The sequence below is a fragment of the Homo sapiens genome, chromosome 7, assembly GCF_000001405.40.
Source record: "Homo sapiens chromosome 7, GRCh38.p14 Primary Assembly".
Classification (NCBI taxonomy): Eukaryota; Metazoa; Chordata; class Mammalia; order Primates; family Hominidae; genus Homo; species Homo sapiens.
The window spans coordinates 78,545,256-78,564,522 of record NC_000007.14 but is presented as its reverse complement, the minus strand read 5'-3'; the positions used below and the strand labels follow the sequence as shown (position 1 = coordinate 78,564,522).

Here is a 19,267-nt window from a genome sequence, read left to right as displayed (position 1 = left end):
TTACTTGCAAATAACTTCAAAAATTATCTAACTTTCTTTGCTAACCTGAAACTTTGTCAGCATTGAAGTTGATAAATAAGTGGATCATTGAGCAGACTTCAGATTCCTGGCATCACCACAAAAATGTACAAGTATTTAGTGGTTATGAAATTAATCTAAAGCAGAATGTTTTTCTTATATTTTAATATATTAATTGTGAAGTGTTGACGCTCAGGGTTGATCCAAGGTGACAGATTAAATCAGATTAATGCCTATAATACTAAAACGCTGAGCAGAATAACATTAAAGCTGGTATCCATGAGCCTAGCCTCACTCCCCAGAAGAGCACCCAGTCAGATTATGAGGCAGTTGTGCGGGATTCTTCCACAGTTATCCTTACCTGCTCAATTAACCTTGGCGTGGTACAGCATATTTGGTTGTGATCTTTTAGAGTTGATGTGTCTCCCATACCTACAAAATTTGAAAATTTACAGTTTCCCTTTTATCATAGAAATTAATCATGTTCTGTGTAATATGTGTTAGCAACTTAAAAAAAATACCTATTCAAATATGACTTTGATCTAATCCAATTTAATTTAGGCCTCAAATTAAATAGAATTTAAGAGTCTTACAGACTTCCTAGACTTGTTTGCAGTCTCAAACACTATATTTGTGATAAGATACTATGGATTGATTTTGATAACGTTAGTGCGTAATATTTTGACTATAATCTTGTTCATTGGATACTCTCTTTCCAGTAACTCTGAACCTGTGGAGATTGGACTTGACATAGGCATTGGGTATTTTTATTTGTAAGGTGTGATATGGAAAAGCACATGGGCATTTTGTCTTTGAAGCAGCACCAACTACTTCTACCAACAGAATTTATCATAGCTCTTAGGATTGCCTCTTAGAAAAGTCATCTGCCAGGGGATTTAAAACATGGCTGTGGATGACTGGGGTCATATGGCACTGAGTTAATTTCTGTTTAGGACCTCAGCTCTGGCTCATTTCCTGAATCTCTTGAGTGGCTCTCGTCTGTCGTTTTTCACACTCCTGGTTTCCAAAAACTCGTAATCCTAGAATCAATGTGGCTTTGCATCATAAAGCTAATGGCCAAGTGCTTGAGGAGACCACTAATCATCACTGTAGCCAGGCACGGGAAGGTGCATGCTGCCCCAGGTGACCTTTGAGCATTGAATGCAGCCCCCATGGTCTCTGCGAAGCAGTCCTTTCAGTAGCCCAAATAAAATTTCCCCAAGCTAGTAATTGTCTTGCATTTTTAGCAATCATCTTTGAATTTTTCCTCTTTCAAATTATAAAACCTTTTCAGTTGTGCCCTGTCATCTTGCAAGGATGGCTCAGCAGGACATTAGGACTTTAATAGAGACTTTAAAAACATTCCTACCAATTTATAATAATTGCACATATTTGCAAATTCTGTTTTTCTTTACCAGGCTCTTATTACCATTACTACCATGTTGTCAGCAGGCGAACTTTCTGGCAAGAAATTACAATCAAATGACCACTCATTAAAAAAAAAAAACAACAAAAAAGAAACTCACAAAGAGACAAAGAGATGGAGGGGAAAGTGAATGTATTTTCATACATAATTATGGGGCCTTCAAGCTTCACTTTAGAACTGCTAAAATGGGAAGGTGCAAAGCAAAAATTCAGTAGCAGAAGACTAGAAGAGACATAAATCCCAAGAATCCCTTCTAGGGAGATGCAGTTAGGAACAGTAAATTCATGGAGGCTCTCTTTGAACAACAAAACAAATCTTTCTCTGCCTAGCACACATCCAATTATTGCCCAGGACATTATCTTGTAGTGGCTCAAAAACGTATTTACAATTATCAGATTTCAGTGACAGTGAAAGTATCTTGAAGGAGTATATTTCACTCCACTCAACTAGATATAGTATGATTTTTTACCTGTTTCACTGAGAAAAAGAATGAATCATGATGATTAAGTTTGGGTCACTTAAAATCACCATCAACTGTTTATAAATAGCAGATGCCTTTTTGCATTCATTCTATATGTCTCCATTGCAATATGTTCCAATCAGATGTTTATTATTCTTTCCTACTGTTTGGATTCTTTAAACTGTGAAAATGGCACATGAGCAGCAAAGAAAATTCTGCTGGCTTTTGTGTGGTTATTGTTGCTAAGGAAACCATTTCCTTTCTACTACAGTGTATAGGACATCTGTGCCACATTGAGTCTGCTACAGAAAGACACATAACATCAGGAATAGGGAGTGAATGAAGAAGGAACACAAATTAATAAAACAAGAAAAGTTAATACAAATAACACTCACTTTAAACACTCCTTTTAATGCTCTCATAGTGATGATTTTTTTAAGTAGGAAAAATGTAGAATGTGTACATGTAATTCTCAGTAACATGGAACATCTTTATGTACATCACTGCCACATCCCAACTGGGTCTCTTCCTTCCCTTCTGTGAACTCCATGGAAGCATGTACCCTAATAGAGCGTTTGTGAATCTTTCACAAACTTCATCATGGTCATTACTACTTCCCAGAGAGGGGAGCAGGTGTGTCCTGAAGCATGTGAGCATGCTATGGTATTTGAGACAGCAGGCCTCTCCTCCTTGTGGTTTTCTATCAGCTGCCCCAAATCCTACACCATCCATAGCTTTCTCCCTCCTAACTCACTTATACCTTCGTGCCCTTACTTTTCTAAGGCTACTTCATTCTTACTTTAGCCTATCCCCTGCAACCTTTCCTGCCATCCCCCAGATACATGTTTCTTAGTTAATAATTCAGACAATGACCTCTTTGCTTCCTGCGTTGGTTGAAATCTGCCCAACCCCTGAGGGTGCTGCTGCTTCATTCATTCATTCCAAAAAGAGGCAGCTCGTTCTCTCAAACCCCACAACCCTGATGTCAGATCAGGAGACCTCCCCACTTCTTCTAGGCATTAGTCTTCCACCTTGGTCTAAAGTCTTCTTTCCTAATTCTATTTTTGCCATTACTTTTAATTGCAAAAACCACAATTACTTTTGCACCAACTTAATATGATACTTGTTTTCACTGTCATCTATCTCTCGCTGTCACCTGCCTTCTGATCACTCTCTTTGTGACTGAAAACTTTGGAGGCTAAATTGTAGTCTTCTTTCATGCTAACCTATATTTCAACATGCATATAAGTGACCTGACAAATAATCTAGTCTCACAGTTACTAAGCTATTTAACTCCATTGGCCATTCTATTTCAACTACCTACTCACCTGCCCAGAATCTTGTACTTGCTAGAACAAACACTAATTCATCTGTCTCGTGAGCCCACACCTACCTACCATCCCTTCTTTCCCATTTCACAGAGACCTCCAGCTCTTGATCTCAGTATCTTCCTAGTTTGTCTGCTTCTTGTCTCTTTTCCTTCTATTAATCCTGACACGTGTGTGTTCATTTACTCCAAAGATTTTATGCGTATCACTGCTTTCTAAGTTTTTGCTACACCTCTGTGAATCCCTGTTCCAACATTGCTCCTCTATTTTTCTGCAACACCTACCCAAGATCACCAACTACAAATTACCACCTCTACCTTTCTCTAGGACACCTGAGTGTATAATGCCTGAGAAAGTTCCAGGTTGATGCAACCTAAAATCTTTATAAATCCTGAGCTATGCCTCAGCTGCATCTACTAGAAAGGCTATATGTTGTCCATGATCAGCCTTCTCTCATTATCCTAGATGTCAATTCCTGATGCTCTCAGCAGATAATCCAGCTTTATAAGAGCAGGATGATTGTGTAATGGTTAAGAGCATGCTATCAGAAAGCAGACAAAAGGCTATCAAAGGGAAGAACAGAAATTCAAACCCAGCTCTGCCTACCGCTGAAGCCCACAAATAATTTCTAGTTGTATATTATTGTTGATGCTCTCATAAAAATAAAGGTTCAATTTCTGTAACACCTGTCTTTTGAAACTACAAAATAATTTTTTGCATGTTTTTAAACATAATTTTAAAAAAATTTTAAAGTATTTAGATTAACGTTTACATCATAAATTATCTTAGAAGATGATAATTTAAGTGTTCCAATGATTACGTTTTGCCACATCAGATCTGACATTTTTCCATGCTATTTTATTCATTCTCCCTTGGAAACTCTATCCACTTTCATGGCTTCAATTATCACCTCCAGAATACTCCTCAAAACCAATCTGTAACTCTCACCTCTCTTTTGAACTTCAGTCCCAACTGTCCAAATGTCAGTTGGACATCTGTGCATGAATATTCTGCTGTCACTTCAAACTCACCATGTTGAAAATGAATGTATAGTCCTAACCCCATCTAAATCTGTTTGCTGATTTTAATATCTCTGTCTCAAGTTCAATTATTAATGTGGATCTTCATTTTCCTTTCTTCCTCTCAGTAAATTTTTTCTCAACTTCAACCTTCTCACACTCATAATTCCCTTGTTTGTCCCTGCTTTGTGTGGGCATGGAACATGTAATATTTTTTTCTTTTGTCATCCTTCAAGCTGCATGCCTTTGGTGAATATTTCCTTTTGTCTGTAAGTCCCCATGTAGATACCTTTATTTATTCTTTCTCTACTTTAGTCCCTATTTTTTCTTATTCTTTTCTCATTTTCTTCCTTGTAGGACTGTTTTCCAATATTGAAGTTGCCCAGGTGTGACAGTGGGTGGCAAATATATGTGTACACACACACATACATGTTTGTATGTATATAAAACTTGAATGAATTATCCATATCAGTTTTATCAAAAATTAAACACTTCTCAAGGCAGGGATGTGACTATGAGTATAAAGTCACATATATTTTGTAGATGAAGAAATGGAGGCACAGAAAAAATGAATCACAACAAAAGCTCAGTGTAGAGGAGAATATAGGACTTTAAGCCAGCACTCTGATTCTCGGGTATTTTTTCTACTCTGTGGGTTCCCTTTCAGCAGGACAATTTTAAGCTTAATACTCACGAGCATCGGCATGGGAAATATTTAATATAAGACCAAATAGTACATGCCCTTTGATAATTCTTTATACTCATTAATATCAAATTTACAAAATCACTAACTGCTTTAAATGAGCTCCACAGAAAATACCATTGCTTATAACAAACTAATCTTTTCTGAGTTATGTACCTATTATTGACCCTTTTCATTTTTCTTATTTCTTCCCAAAGTGTGAGGAATTTGTTAATACAGTAGTTTCAAAATAGATAGCAAACTCTTTAATACACAAGTCAACCAAGGGGTAGTGAGAAGAAAGTCCAAAATACACCTATAAATCTTTACAACTGGAAAAAAAAAAAAAAACCTGAAAGGAATTTCTTTCTCTTGAGCCCCACTATTGTTTTTCTTTTCTTTTCTTTTCTTTTCTTTTTGGCTTTTTTTTTTTTTTTTTTTTTTTTTTTTTTTGGAAATTCAGATTGCAAGCTCCTAAAAGTAGAGTCGTAATGATTGTAATCATGCATATATTCTGGGTAATAACTTAGGGACACATAGAAGCCTTTCCTCTATTACCAGAGAACACTGTACATTTTGTTAAGATGCAAAAATGAAATTGGGTTCCTGAAATTTAAAATTAGTCTCATGTATATTTAAGTGACTGTAAAATAGCACCCTGCACATGACCTCGATTATTAAATAAATGGCACTTTAAAGTCATCCTGGTGTGTTGACTACAAGGCTTTGCAAGAAAAAAAAAAAAAAAAAAACGGTGTCTCAAAGGATCCATTGTTAGAATAGCTGCAAAAGCACTGTATGATCACCCTCACGTGGGCCAACTGAATAGTTATTGAGACCAAGTCACAGCTGGGACTATTACAATTACTGTCACACTTGTGAGAATGTCATTTTATCATATGACCTCTTAGGTGATTATAAGGACCCAAAAAGGCAGTGAAGAAACTGAAGGATGGAGGGTTGTAAATTATCACAGAACCTACATTTTGGCCTCCTGGGCTAGGGCTTTAGGTTAGTTTCAATGTTACTAACACCTTGCAGAGTCAAAAGTAACCATTTTCACTGCCTCATGTTTCTAAAAGCACCTTATTTTAGAAATAGCTTCAAAAGTGAATCTTAAGTTTCATTCTTCTTTTTTGGAAATTTAGAAATTATTACTTTTTTAGGAAAGAGATTGTCATCATGAATAATACTAAAGGAATACTTAAGATCAAAATAAAAACTCTTACTTTCCTTTCTTGCTACTGTGAATTTGAACCACAGTGAATCAGCTGAGATCTCACACACTGATTTAGCACACTTTGCTAGCAGAAGACCCACGTTTCTTTTTAAATTAACGTTTGTCTCTTTCTTTGTTCTCTGTTTCACCTTAAATGGGAATACATAAATATATTAAAAGTGAGAAACTTTGTTTATTTCATAGCAACTTCATAACATCAGATAATTGCCAACTCTGATTATTTTATTTGTATTCAATTGATATATATTAAGGATTTATCACACACCATGATCTTAGAGGAGAAAATCAAATGAGAATAGAACACTCAAAATATTTATATTTAAGTAGGAGAATTTAGTCACATACACAATCAACTATTTTTTAAAAAAAAAAAAGAGTTCCAATAAAGTACTAAAGAGGATCAGTAGAGAGAGGCCACCTAGAGTAGCCAGGATGACTTTATAGAGATGACATTTGTGCTCTAAGTTTGAAATCCTTTTCTTACATGTACATGTTCAATTGTATTTTAAATAATCAATAAGCAAAAACTGTACCTCTGATTACACTGAAATCCGCTCTGAAATGGATTATTAATTTTTAAGAGGAGAAAAAGAAAAACCTTTATTACTGCTTGTTCCTTGGAGGGCTGTAACAAGAAAACTTTTGTTCCATATCTATGGGGTTGTCACTGACCTTCTAGAAAGTATTTCTGGGTAGTGACATTCCTCTAGTTTTCGCTCTAGTTTTTGTAAGTCAGCATCCTGTTTCATAGTAGTGGGTCAGGAGCTTGCTAGAAGAGTGGAGAAGCCCTGGGAGCCTCCATATGTGTTTCATAGTACCATCACTTGGCTAGAGGGCCAGATACCCAAAGACTAGGGAATACTTCTAAGTAAGATGGGGAAGGGAATAGCCAAAAAATTCCTTCTCTCTAAAATTGCTCTGGAAGAAAGGCAGCCTTTTGTTAGCATTTCAGCTCACCAGGTCATGAGCAGGAAATGGTACCAGGTCTTGGAAGGAGAATACAACAATGCTAACTGGCTCCTTTGGGGGGCTTCCAATTTTGTTGTTCTGGCAAGATATATACAGTACATATGGAAATATAACTAATTGTAAAAGGAAAGATGAATGCAGAAATTGGCAATTCAGTACAGAGGGTAAAACTCACATCACTGAGTTAGGAAACCAAAATCTTATTTTGTGTGTACTTGGGCAAATTAAAATCTTCTAGCCTCAGTTTCCTCACCTGTGAAATTCTTTTTTTTTCTTTTTCTTTTTTTTTTTTTTTTTTTTGAGACTCTGCCACCCAGGCTGGAGTATAGTGGCACTATCTCAGCTCACTGCAAGCTCCATCTGCCCGATTAACACCATTCTTCTGCCTCAGCCTCCTGAGTAGCTGGGACTACAGGCACCTGCCACCATGCCCAGCTAATTTTTTTTTTTATTTTTAGTAGAGACGGGGTTTCACCATGTTAGCCAGGATGGTCTTGATCTCCTGACCTCATGATCTGCCCGCCTCAGCCTCCCAAAGTGCTGGGATTACAGGCGTGAGCCACCATGCCCGGCGGCAAACCCACAATTCTTTAAGTGGAGGATTCCAAAAGAGGAAGTGTGGCTTTCACACAGGAAAGAGAAGGGAGTGTGTTTCTGTAAGGGGAAAGCTTGAGAAGGGCATGGAAATGGGAATATGTGAAGATACTTAGACAATAGTGAGCAAAACGGTTGCTTGTTCTTAGCATTGGTTCTAGACAACTTCATCCCCAGGGCTCTTCTCACCTATAGATAGAGAGGGTATTGCTTCACATACTCTCCTCATTCCCTCAAGTGCTCCCATTTTAGTCTGCATCTTCCTACAAGGTTCTTTTAAGCTTCCATTGCAAACATTTTAGAGTTGTCATCACAACTTCAGGATATGAAGATATGCAGTTCCCATAAGTAAACGGATGAATCCAGTCCTGAAGCCTGTGAAATCAGCCCATGTTGGTGCCAACAGGAGACTTCACACACTTCCCAAACCAGTATGTTTGGTGACTATTGGGACAAGTTTGTCAGCAAAGTGCACATGGCCCTGGGCAAAGGTATCAGAAGAGTGACATTTATGTCCCACCCTGTTTTGCCCCTAACCATAAGTTGACCCCTGTAAGTCATTCAATCTCACTGAGATTCGATTTATCCATGTTTCATGTGACAAGATTATTATCTTCTGTGCCTCTTACTCTGGCTTCCTGTGAGGCATAATATAAGCTATCATATATATATATACTTTTTGGAAAAATATAAACTGGTAAGCAAATATAGGGCATTATGATTGAAGAGCTTTCCAGATATGCTAACATATATTGAATTTAAGGCCTTTAATAGTTACTAGATTTTCTTTTTTAAACATGGTAATAGCTTTACTGATTTTTATTGCAATACTCTTCTCAAAACATTTTGCATTATTATGTGCTTTTAGTATTTGAGACTTCAGTCCACCCAGTAGTGGTTAGTGGTAAGAGTGGAGGTTGTAAAATATATAAATGCAATAGAAACATGCAGTTAGAAATGAGTGTTTAGATAAACACATCTTTGGGCTGAGTACTTTAAAATGCTCAATCTAAGTGTAGTCATTGACTAAAATCCATCCATGAAAAATGTTTATTGACTTTCTCAAATGTGGTAATGGTAAGCTTTTTTCCTTTAGCACCCTATAAATAATGATGTGTTGTGGTTTTATCAGCAGGTAGCAACATAAATAGGTAATATAAACTCAGTTCCCAAGTGCAGACAATAAGCCTTCAGAAATAACTTCATTATCATTGCCATAGTTGTGCTTAATTGGGGCTAGTTTAATTTTGTAATATCTTTATTTCATAATAATTCATTATATTATCACTTTTCTTATTGCAGCTTTATGCCCACAAACTTTTGCAGCCAGAATAGTTTTTTTATATGTGTCCATATATCTCATATGAAATTTCTGATATTTTATCATCTACATATGAAACTAAATTTGATATGTACTTGGGCCTGTTTGTACTAAAAGGAATGAAAGATATTCCTCCACCCTCTTAGGGTCCCTGGTTGAGTTTTATGTGACATGGAAGCCTTCATAAGGAAACAAAGTCCCAAGAAGTAGTTAAACCTATCTATCTATCTATCTATCTATCTGTCTATCTATCTATCTATCTATCCATCCATCCAACCGTCCTCTATCATTCATTTATTTATTTATTTATTTATTTATTTATTTATTTATTTCTGACAGTGCCTCACTCTGTCACCTAGACTGGAGTGCAGTGATCATAGTTCACTGCAGCCTCAACCTCCTGGACTCAAGTAACCCTCTCACCTCAGCCTTCTGAGGCTGCGCTGCCTTACCTGGCTGATTTTAATTTTTTTGTTTTAATTTGTAGACATGAGGTTTCACCATCTTGCCCAGGCTGGTCTCTAACTCCTGGGCTCAAGCCATTCTCACACCCCTCACACCGCAGCTTCCCAAAGTGCTGGGATTACCCACATGAGCCACCATGCCCGGCCAAACTATGTATTTTTATGCTAAGTTTGATGGAAATGGGAGAGTCGTGGAAAAATGTAATTGGACAAAGGGGGTATGATTTAATGATAATAACTTGGCAGAACTTAGCAAAGCCTGTCTGTTCAAGTTCCTCTCTGTGACCCTGTGTCTTCAGAGATAAGGATGTTCTTTTCCTCTGGATGTAGGGAGGGTACCTCTTGAATGAGGGTCCTATGACCTGCTTCAGGGGAAGGTTAGAAAATTCTTCCTGGGATTTATGGCCGCCTTCCGGGGAGATGGGCGAGAAGAAGGTAAGAGTGACCTTCCTGTCTCTGCTGTTGTCAAATGCCACGGTGCTATATTTTGGGGTAATGTGTCCTGAATCCCATCAGCACTATTGCATAGAGCTTTGTGTTCTTTTAAAATTCTGCATATAAAGAAAATTATCTTCTGAGGTGTGACTGACAGAATGAGGAGATCCACATGGACTTTCAGATTTATGTAAGGTTCACAAATATGAGACTCAAACTTGATTAGCTCAGAAGTGTGACCAAGATCATGATGGTGCTTGCAGCCCCATGGAGCACTTTCACAAGCGCTTACACAAGCCTTGGTGACTGTTAACCCTCACTTCACAGACAGCTTTGCTGTGTGTAATCATGACAGTGTGGTTTCTCCAATTTTTCCCTATTTTAACAAAAATGGAAGCACCTATGAGACCAACTTTGGGTCAGTGAATCAATACCAATCTACCTTCACTTCCTGGAGAGCATCTCAGAATGCATTTTCCTCCAAGGATATGTTATTGTTTCATCATTGTTTTTTAATAAAGGGGAACACATTTTTAGAACTAGAAATGGGGGAAAATACATATAACCAACAGATTTTATGGAGCAGACATAACCTAATACAAATCCCACTTCAGGTCAGACTCAGGTTGGGCCTTCACCCCACATCTCTCCTTCTTTTGGGACTCCCCTCCACTACCCCGGGCCCTACTCCCTTCCATTTTCCTGGAGTAGGACAAATACATATCATAGGAAGCAATGTGTCATAGCAGACACAATTAAAACTCCAGATTTATTCCAAAATCCAAATCCTATCCCTGCCACTTGGTAACTGTGTGATTTGGGGCAATATGATTTCTCTGAGCTCTGGTTTACTTGTCTGCACAAACGCTTGTGTCACAGAACTGTTGAGCATATTAATGGATGTATCTAGCACCCAGGACAGTGTCTAGAACATTGTTGGGGCTTCATACTCAGTAGCTCTAATGAGATAATCATCTAACTAACTTGGGATCATTTAGTCTGAGTTGTCAGGCTTGGGGATGAAGTTTGAAGAAAGCAGGTTTTATTTTGTTTGTATAAGTGCAAGTCTTCCTTCACCAGTAACACTTTAATGACAGAGGTTTTCAAATCACGTATTTATCTGAAGGACAGTTACATTTACCTTACTATTTTCTTGTTAGAACTCAGTTGCATTTCCAAGGTGACCTGCAACATTTTACAGTTTGCCATAAACATATTTATTTCATTGATGAGAAAAATTTGGGCAGCGTGGAGAGTAATACGGAAAACTTTTAAATGATTAACTGGGTTGTGATCATTAAAATAAAGCTACGAAAATGCTTATGTAGTCAAAGTATATTACAATTGTAAGACTGCGAACAGATGGGAATGTACAGCATTTTGCTACCTTGTAAAACCTAGGCCGTTACCCTTTTATGAAAGGACAAATCTGGGCTCTGGAATACACTTTGGTGTTTGTTTTTTTTTTTTTTAATTTAAAGTTGATTTTACAGGCAACTTCTGAATTTTCCTTCTCTGCCTCTTACAGTTTTTAAGACGATCTCATCTTCCTCCACTCCATGCTAGCCACAACTCTTAAAAGCCACAAACTCTCATTCATATCCATAGCAATTGCCTGGAGCTCACTGACCTTGGGGGGGCAATTTGTTCTCGTTCTACCACCTTACTCAGTTTTAGACCTTTGGCCCCGTACTCTGCCTTCGAACTTGTTTCTAGCCCTTTGGATTTGTTGTTTGTATTTGCAATGCCCAGAATTTGAACCTTGCTTCACCCCTTAGAAACTGGCTTCATGTTTCTCTTTGGCTCAGGGCACCCTAGCTGGATCAACCCTGACCTTCTGTAGTGCTACAACACAAGTAATCTATGTCCGTCCATTGTAGCTGGGACGAATCACAGGCCTGCAGTTTTTAAAATAAGCAATTTACAGTACGGCATCTACAGACACCATTTTTGTCCACCACACCACTATACAGTTCTTTGTATAGTTTCTCATTTTTACCTTTACAAATGTTTAATAAGGCTGTTTTTACTATCATGCCGGCTACACGTTTTCATGTAATGTATTTCTGAGTTAAAAGGAAAATAGTCGGGCGCAGTGGCTTACGCCTGTAATCCCAGCACTTTGGGAGGCCGAGGCGGGCAGATCACCTGAGGTCAGGAGTTCAAGACCAGCCTGACCAACATGGTGAAACCCCATCTCTACCAAAAATACAAAATTAGGTAGGCGTGGTGATGCATGCCTGTAATCCCAGCTACTTGGAAGGCTGAGTCAGGAGAACTGCTTGAACCCAGGAGGTGGAGGTTGCGGTGAGCTGAGATCGCGCCATTGTACTCCAGCCTGGGCAAGAAGAGTTAAACTCTGTCTCAAAAAAAAAAAAAAAAAAAAAAAAGGAAAACAAATGTCTACCTAAAAGTCTATGGTTATTTAAAAATACCTTATGTTTGTTTTTCTTCAAGTCGAATTGCCCAATAAGATTGCTGAAAGTATATTGACCTTTTATTTCATTAACAATGCAAACTGGAGCTGGATGCAGTGGCTTATGCCTATAATCCCAGCACTTTGGAAGGCCAAAGCAGGCAAGTTGCTTGAGCTCAAGAGTTTGAGACCCATCTGGGCAACATGGCAAAACTTTGTCTTTACAAAAAATACAAAAATTAGCTGGGCGTGGTGGCGCATTCCTGTAGTTCCAACTACTCAGGAGGCTGAGATGGGAGGATCACTTGAGCCCAGCAATTCAAGGCTGCAGTGAGCCAGGTTCGCACCGCTGCCCTCCAGCCTGGGTAACAAAGCAAGACACCCTCTGAAAACAAACAAACAAACAAAACAATGCAAACTGGTAAAAGCCACTTATACTTCGTGTTGGAATTTATTTTAAACTTTCGTATAATTCAAGCACAACAGCTGGATGAGAAGTTACCCTCTTAGGGCCTGCCTAGAAGTTTCCCCCTTAGGACAGTCTCCTCAGAACTGTCTTCTCTCAGGGTTGACATGCAGTGGGTATATTATTCATGTATGTGGCTTTCAAATTACTGATGCTGGGAATATAATTCAGATGCAAAGTAAGTGTAAAGAGGAACATTTTAAGTAAGCAAGCAATAAGATCTCTTGAAATAGTGCAAAAGCAAGACATCTGGCTTGACAATAAATCTTGTGGAAGAGACTCAGAAGTGTTCAAGGCCTGTAAGTTTCTATAATGTGAGTGCAAAAATCAAAACAAAGCAAAACAAAAAAACAGTGTAAACTTGCTATGCATTAGCCCAGAAAAAATTTGAGAGTGTTCCCAATTAACCACAGCCATTTAAACAACCCACTAAAGTAATTAACAATGCAACTTGCTAATGAACACTGCAAGGTGGATTTAATATATACTGATTTGGCTAAGTCAATGATAAAAATTGTACTATACAAGGAAGCATTGTTAAGATACAGTGAGAAAGTGAATCTGGAATCAAATGAACTTCATTTATAAAGTTAAGATAGGTGAGCATCCCATATTTTGACTGGTATCTGAACTTCTACAACTCACTAAATCTATTCTCAGTAATTATTATTTATTAATTTATTCCCCTATTTCAGTCTGAAATGACTTAAGATGGCTTACAAGGATCCATATAATAAAAAAATCAATTTTAAAAGAAGATACAAAGAGACACACTAAATGCATGCTTAGAAGAAGTTCTGTATAATTCCAATGTGCAGTGTACATATTCCTAAAACTAAACCATTAACTTGTCTCTATGGAAATTGGTCATTAAGAAAGGATGATTAGCTATAAGAGTCACAATGTTCATGAGTTAAAAAAAAAAAAACTGTTCAGAGGATGCTCAACACTAACAGTATTCTCTCATGAGTTTGCATGGAGGGGATATGACATTAATGTAAAAAACAGTATCAAGGATCACAAAACTTTTATTTTAAAATGTCCTCAACCTTGTCCAGTGGAGTTATGCAGAAGTGCCATTGGGTAAAAGCTCTTATCTGGAGTGTCAGTATTCCAAGGTCCAGGTATTAACAGTCTTCTATCTGTCTGGCTTATTCCAGGAGTAGATTTTAGAGTATCTAGAGGAATATATGGATTGTCTCTTTCCCCTAATTTTTACAAATATTGTTTTTCTTGGCTGAGCTTCTGAAGTGTATTGAGCCATCCTAAGTCCAAGCTTATCCTTTCTGGCACAAACCTGATGTACTGGCGCCCTTTTGCCAGTCAAGTGGAGCATTAAATATTTTATCAGCTGAGTGGCAGATAGGATTGATTCTCTTATAAAAACTGAGGTGCCCAAAGAATGGGTGCCTGAACAAAAGATCATCTAACTTCTGTTCTAAAGGATATTACCTTAGTCCATTCAGGCTGCTATAACAAAATACTGTAAACTGAGTGGCCTATAAACAACAGAAATTTGCTTCTGAAAGTTCTGGAGGCTGGAAAGTCCAAGATCGAGGCAGATAGGGTATCTGCTAAGGGTCTGCTTTTTGGTTTGTAGACGGTGCTTTCTATGTGTCCACACATGATGGAAGAGACAAAGGAGCTGACTTGGGCCTCTTTTGTAAAGGCACTAATCTTACTTACGTGGGCTTCACCCTGAAAACCCAATCATTTCCCAAAGGCCTCACCTCCTAACACTATCAAGGATAGGAGGGACAAATACTCAGATCATAGTAGAAGTTAAGGGTGAAACTCTAGGTAAGCCAAAAGCAAGATTTCCATCAGAAAATGATTTTCAGTTCATGGTAACAAACACACAAATAGGCCCTTATTAAAGGATTTAATGTCCAAATTTGCATCATCCTATTAATACATTGACATATTATACTTGTGTTTTATAGGTCATAGGAAATATATAGTAGGTTTTGCATTTGATAAAAATCCAGGTAGTCTTTTTTATGTGTCACATCAGTAACAAGATGGCAATGCCCTTCAGCCAAGGTCACCAGGAACACACCTATAGTCAAAGAAAGATGGATTTTATTAACTCGTTATTGAGAAATGAGGAAGAGAGCACTCCATGGAGCACTATGAGCCATCTCAGTAGGAAGATTTAGGATTTGGCTTTATAGTAGGTGATCCTGAAGAGAGCTCAAGGCAGTAGGACTCTTCTCCAGATTGGATGGATGCTGTGAGGAATCGGGTGATTTTATGATTGGGTTTTTATAATTCTTATCTAGAATGCAGATGAATGAACAAAGGTGAATGCAGTAGTTGGGAAATATGCAAAAGAAGGCAGTCTTACTTTTGTCTTGATCCACTATGGTCACACAATGGCCTTGTCTGAAGTTGGCGTTCTGTGAAACTATTGATGTTCCACAGGAGAACACCATAGCCTAGCTGGGAATAGCAGGCCAGCTCCTATCCATAATACCTAGCTAATAGTTCCAGGCCCACTTATATCTATCAACTTTTCTTATTCTCAAAGTCCACAATTTTTTGTTTACCAAGAGTGCTTGTCAAACTGAGCCTCTCAAACAGGAAACCTACTTTTGTAAGACATGATGCTGCTAATAAAAGTAGTTTAAACTTATTAGCAATCTATTTATAGAAAATAAGAAGAGAAACTTTTTCCTTGAATGAATTGAGGTTTAACAAACCCATGGATGAATAGTAAAAAGGGCACATACATTTTGAAAGGCAGTATGCTTTTTAAAGCAATCTCATCTTGCAAATTCAACCATAAGTGAATTCTTTTTACCTAACTCAATATAGACTTTGGATTATTAATAGTTAACATCTAAATCAAAGAAAAAATAATTGTCCCACTGTTTTCTATTCTGGTAAAATAAGGTCTCTAAAACTGTATTCAGTTGTGTTCAACATTACATTTTAAGCATTAAGACATGAAAGCAATCTTTTGTTTGTTTTTGTTTTGTTTTGTTTTGAGACGGAGTTTCACTCTTGTCACCCAGGCTGGAGTTCAGTGATACAATCTCAGCTCACTACAACCTCCACCTCCCAGGTTCAAGGGATTCTCCTGCCTCAGCCTCCCAAGTAGCTGGGATTACAGGCATGCACCACCACGCCCGGCCAATTTTTGTATTTTTAATAGAGACGGGGTTTCACCATGTTGGCCAGGCTGATGTGGAATTCCTGACCTCAAGTGATCCTCCTGCCTTGGCCTCCAAAGTGCTGGGATTACAGGCATGAGCCACTGTGCCTGGCCGACATGAAAGCAATCTTAAAATACATGGAGGTCTGTCCTGTGGAGTAGCCTTTAGACTTATCCTATTCTGTTCCAAAAGCTCAAACCAGTATCATTAGCTTCATGTAACAAAGAACAATGATTTCTGCTCCAAAGAAAGAATAAGTTTCTCATAATGAAGAGCTATCCAGAAATGGAATAGGTTGTTTAATTATGTTGTGAACTTTCCAACGTTAGAAATGTTGAAAACTGATGCTGAGTGAACACTGGGAATGCAGGCATAACTGTAATGCCTCAAATGGGAGTTTTGACTAGATAGTTGGTCAAGGCTCTTTCTAACTCTGAAGGCAAAATCGATGAGCTTGAGAAAGGGGTTAGGAAGTTGATAGGTTACCATGAGCTAGGGCAATTTAAAGATATTGTATTAATCAGCATTCTGAGAGAATCCAATTCTAGAGGTGAGAAGAAAAGAAGCTTAAAAGGTTAAGGCAAACTGTACTCACCAGTTCCTAAGGTCAGTCCATTGAAATGTGCCCTCTATTGGGAATATAGCAGGTCATTGGATAACATCAGTTCACTCAATATTGTTTTATTATAACATCGATGTCAGAAAAAATGTATTCCAGGCTGAAGCCACTGTCCATGTGAGGTTTGCACATTTTCCCTTTGTCTGTGTGGGTTTTCTCTGGATACTCCAGTTTCCTCCCACATTGCAAAGATGTGCACATTATGTGAGTTGGCATGTTTAAATTGTCGTAATCTGAGTGAGTGTGTGTGTGCGCGCGTGCCTTGTGATAGAATGGCATCCTGTCCAAGGTGGTTCCTCCTTTACACCCTGAGCTTGTGGGATAGGCTCCAGCCATCCTCAGCCCTGAAATAGAATATACAGATTGGAAAATTGAATGAACGAATGAATGAATGAAGAATGAATGAATGAATACAAATTGTTGTCAAATAACCATTTATAAAGTCTAGAACAATCATACCAATACACCGCAATAAACTATGAGGTGCGAAAGCACTCAGCGAACCTGCCATATTTCTTATTGTTTATGAACTGCATGGTGATAGGAGGTCCTTTTTACAGTTGTTGCTTGTAAACACTTTTTCCTTAATCCACCACCACTATGAATGCTGTCTCTCACTGAATCACCAGAAATTGGGTAAATAATCTTACTTATTTTAATTAATATTTCCTAAATGTATGTATAGTTCACATTTATTTCAATATTTAGTATTAGAAGTGTTTGGGGTCTTTATCTGGAAGTTTGGTGTTGTTTTTATGACCAGAAATAGGTCATGGGAGTTAATCTCTTCTTTATATCCATTAGCCTGTAGTAAAATTGGTTTCATTAAATGTCATTTTGCTTAAAGTTGCAGTTTCTAGGAAGCCATAAACAACATTAAGTGAGAACTTACTGTACAATTAAGTGAGCATGGTCCCTGGGCAGAGACTATGCCCTTTGTTAATACTTCAAGTCTTGGCAATAATAGTATTTACTAGTTGCTTAACCATGTCCAATGCACAAAGTTGAGTGCTATGCAAAAGTAAGCAACATCCCATTTAACAGCTTCAGAACAACTCTGTGTGGTAGGCACTGTTATTATCCCTGTTTTATAGACGTTATAACATGCTTCAACTTACATAGCTACTATGTGGCACAAAACAGCTTTAAGCCTCTATTTGAGTCCATAGGTTATACTCCTAATCCTAAATTATACTGCTTCTAGGTAGAGAGAGAGAGAGAGAGAGAGAGATGAGGATCTTTGACAACGGGTGTGATAAAAGGACCATTTCTTTCTACTAAGGGAGAGGACACAGGGGGACACAGCTGTTGGCAATATACTAATCAACACAGTCAATTGTTTAATTTTCCAAGGCTTAAAGAAAGGCCACGATTAGATTAAGCTATAATTTAGAATTTTTAGAATTAATAGAAAAGATAATTAGACCTGCAGGCTTGTCTATCTTTCTTATGCTTTTCTTTAATTTAGAGTATTATGTTTTGATGTTACCTGGTGAACCATGTAAGAGTGGATCTTACATGTTCAATTATGTTTAAATCTGGTATGCTACCTAACGATCTTATAGCAAATATTGTGCTGCAAGTAGGAATGCCAGTTAGCAATAATGATAGTGGTGGTGGTAGCAGAGGTACTAGAAGTAGTAGCAGTACAAATAACTAGGGAGTACCTATCTGCCAAAAATCTTGTTCAAGCTTATCTCATTAAATGTTCAAGATAGCATTATAAATTTGGTCTTAATATTTTCTCCTAAAAAGCCAAAAATTATTAAAATATGGACTCAAAGAACTTAGGAAACTTGCCCAAACTGACACATATAGCTGACTTGAGAGAGCCTCTTATGAAAACCTTGGGTACCCAAATACATGAACATCTTTATTTTAGATAATTTGAATAGGGTGATAAAATATGTGTTGGGGAAAATATTCAATATATTATTTAACGTTTTTGGCTTAGTTTTAGAATGGAAGCCTCTGATCTAGGAACAGCTGAACTTCAGGCAAATTGATTTGTTAGTACCATAAAGTTAATGCATTTTATTTTTTCCTTTGAAAGGTAGGGATTATAAACACCATACAAACAAAATCATAATCCAAATTTTAAATAAATTCCAGTTAATCAGTCTCATGTTGACTAAATTTAATGTAATGTATGAAATATCAATATGTTCTACACAAACTCATTTTGAAAATTAGCCGGAGTATTTCATTATGTTGTGGTTACAAGTTTAGCAGAGTGGACAAAATACTCTTACCATGTATTCTACCAACAATGTCATTAAATAGCGGTTAGCAATTTACTGCTGGCTAATGATCCAGGGCATCATGATAGCCCTTCAGGTCTCTCAGGTAAACACAATCTGTTTAAATTAATGTTGCATAAGCATCAGTTTATTTGGGGCTGAGCACGGTGGCTCACACCTGTAATCCCAGCACTTTGGGAGGCTGAGGTGAGTGGATCACTGAGGTCAGGAGTTTGAGACCAGCCTGACCAACATGGCGAATCCCCTTCTCTGCTAAAAATACAAAAATTAGCCGGGCATGGTGGTGCGTGCCTGTAATTGCAGCTACTCAGAAGGCTGAGACAGGAGAATTGCTTGAACCTGAGAAGTGGAGTTTGCAGTGAGCAGAGATCGAGCCACTGCTCTCCAGCCT

At 37.8% G+C, this 19,267-nt stretch overlaps 1 protein-coding gene across 14 annotated transcripts in view, besides 1 other annotated feature; it reads left to right on the top strand.

Moving 5' to 3' along the window:
- The window catches only part of MAGI2 (membrane associated guanylate kinase, WW and PDZ domain containing 2), a 1,436,613-nt gene that overhangs the window by 889,145 nt on the left and 528,201 nt on the right, over positions 1 to 19,267 (top strand). The gene's annotated exons all lie outside the window — the stretch shown is intronic.
- Positions 809 to 1,404: an enhancer, noted in NCBI's record as "OCT4-NANOG hESC enhancer chr7:78192436-78193031 (GRCh37/hg19 assembly coordinates)". NCBI's record gives its function as "activates a minimal SCP1, AML or CMV promoter by ChIP-STARR-seq in naive H9 embryonic stem cells {active_cell/tissue: H9 hESC(naive)}" and the evidence as "EXISTENCE:reporter gene assay evidence [ECO:0000049][PMID:30033119]".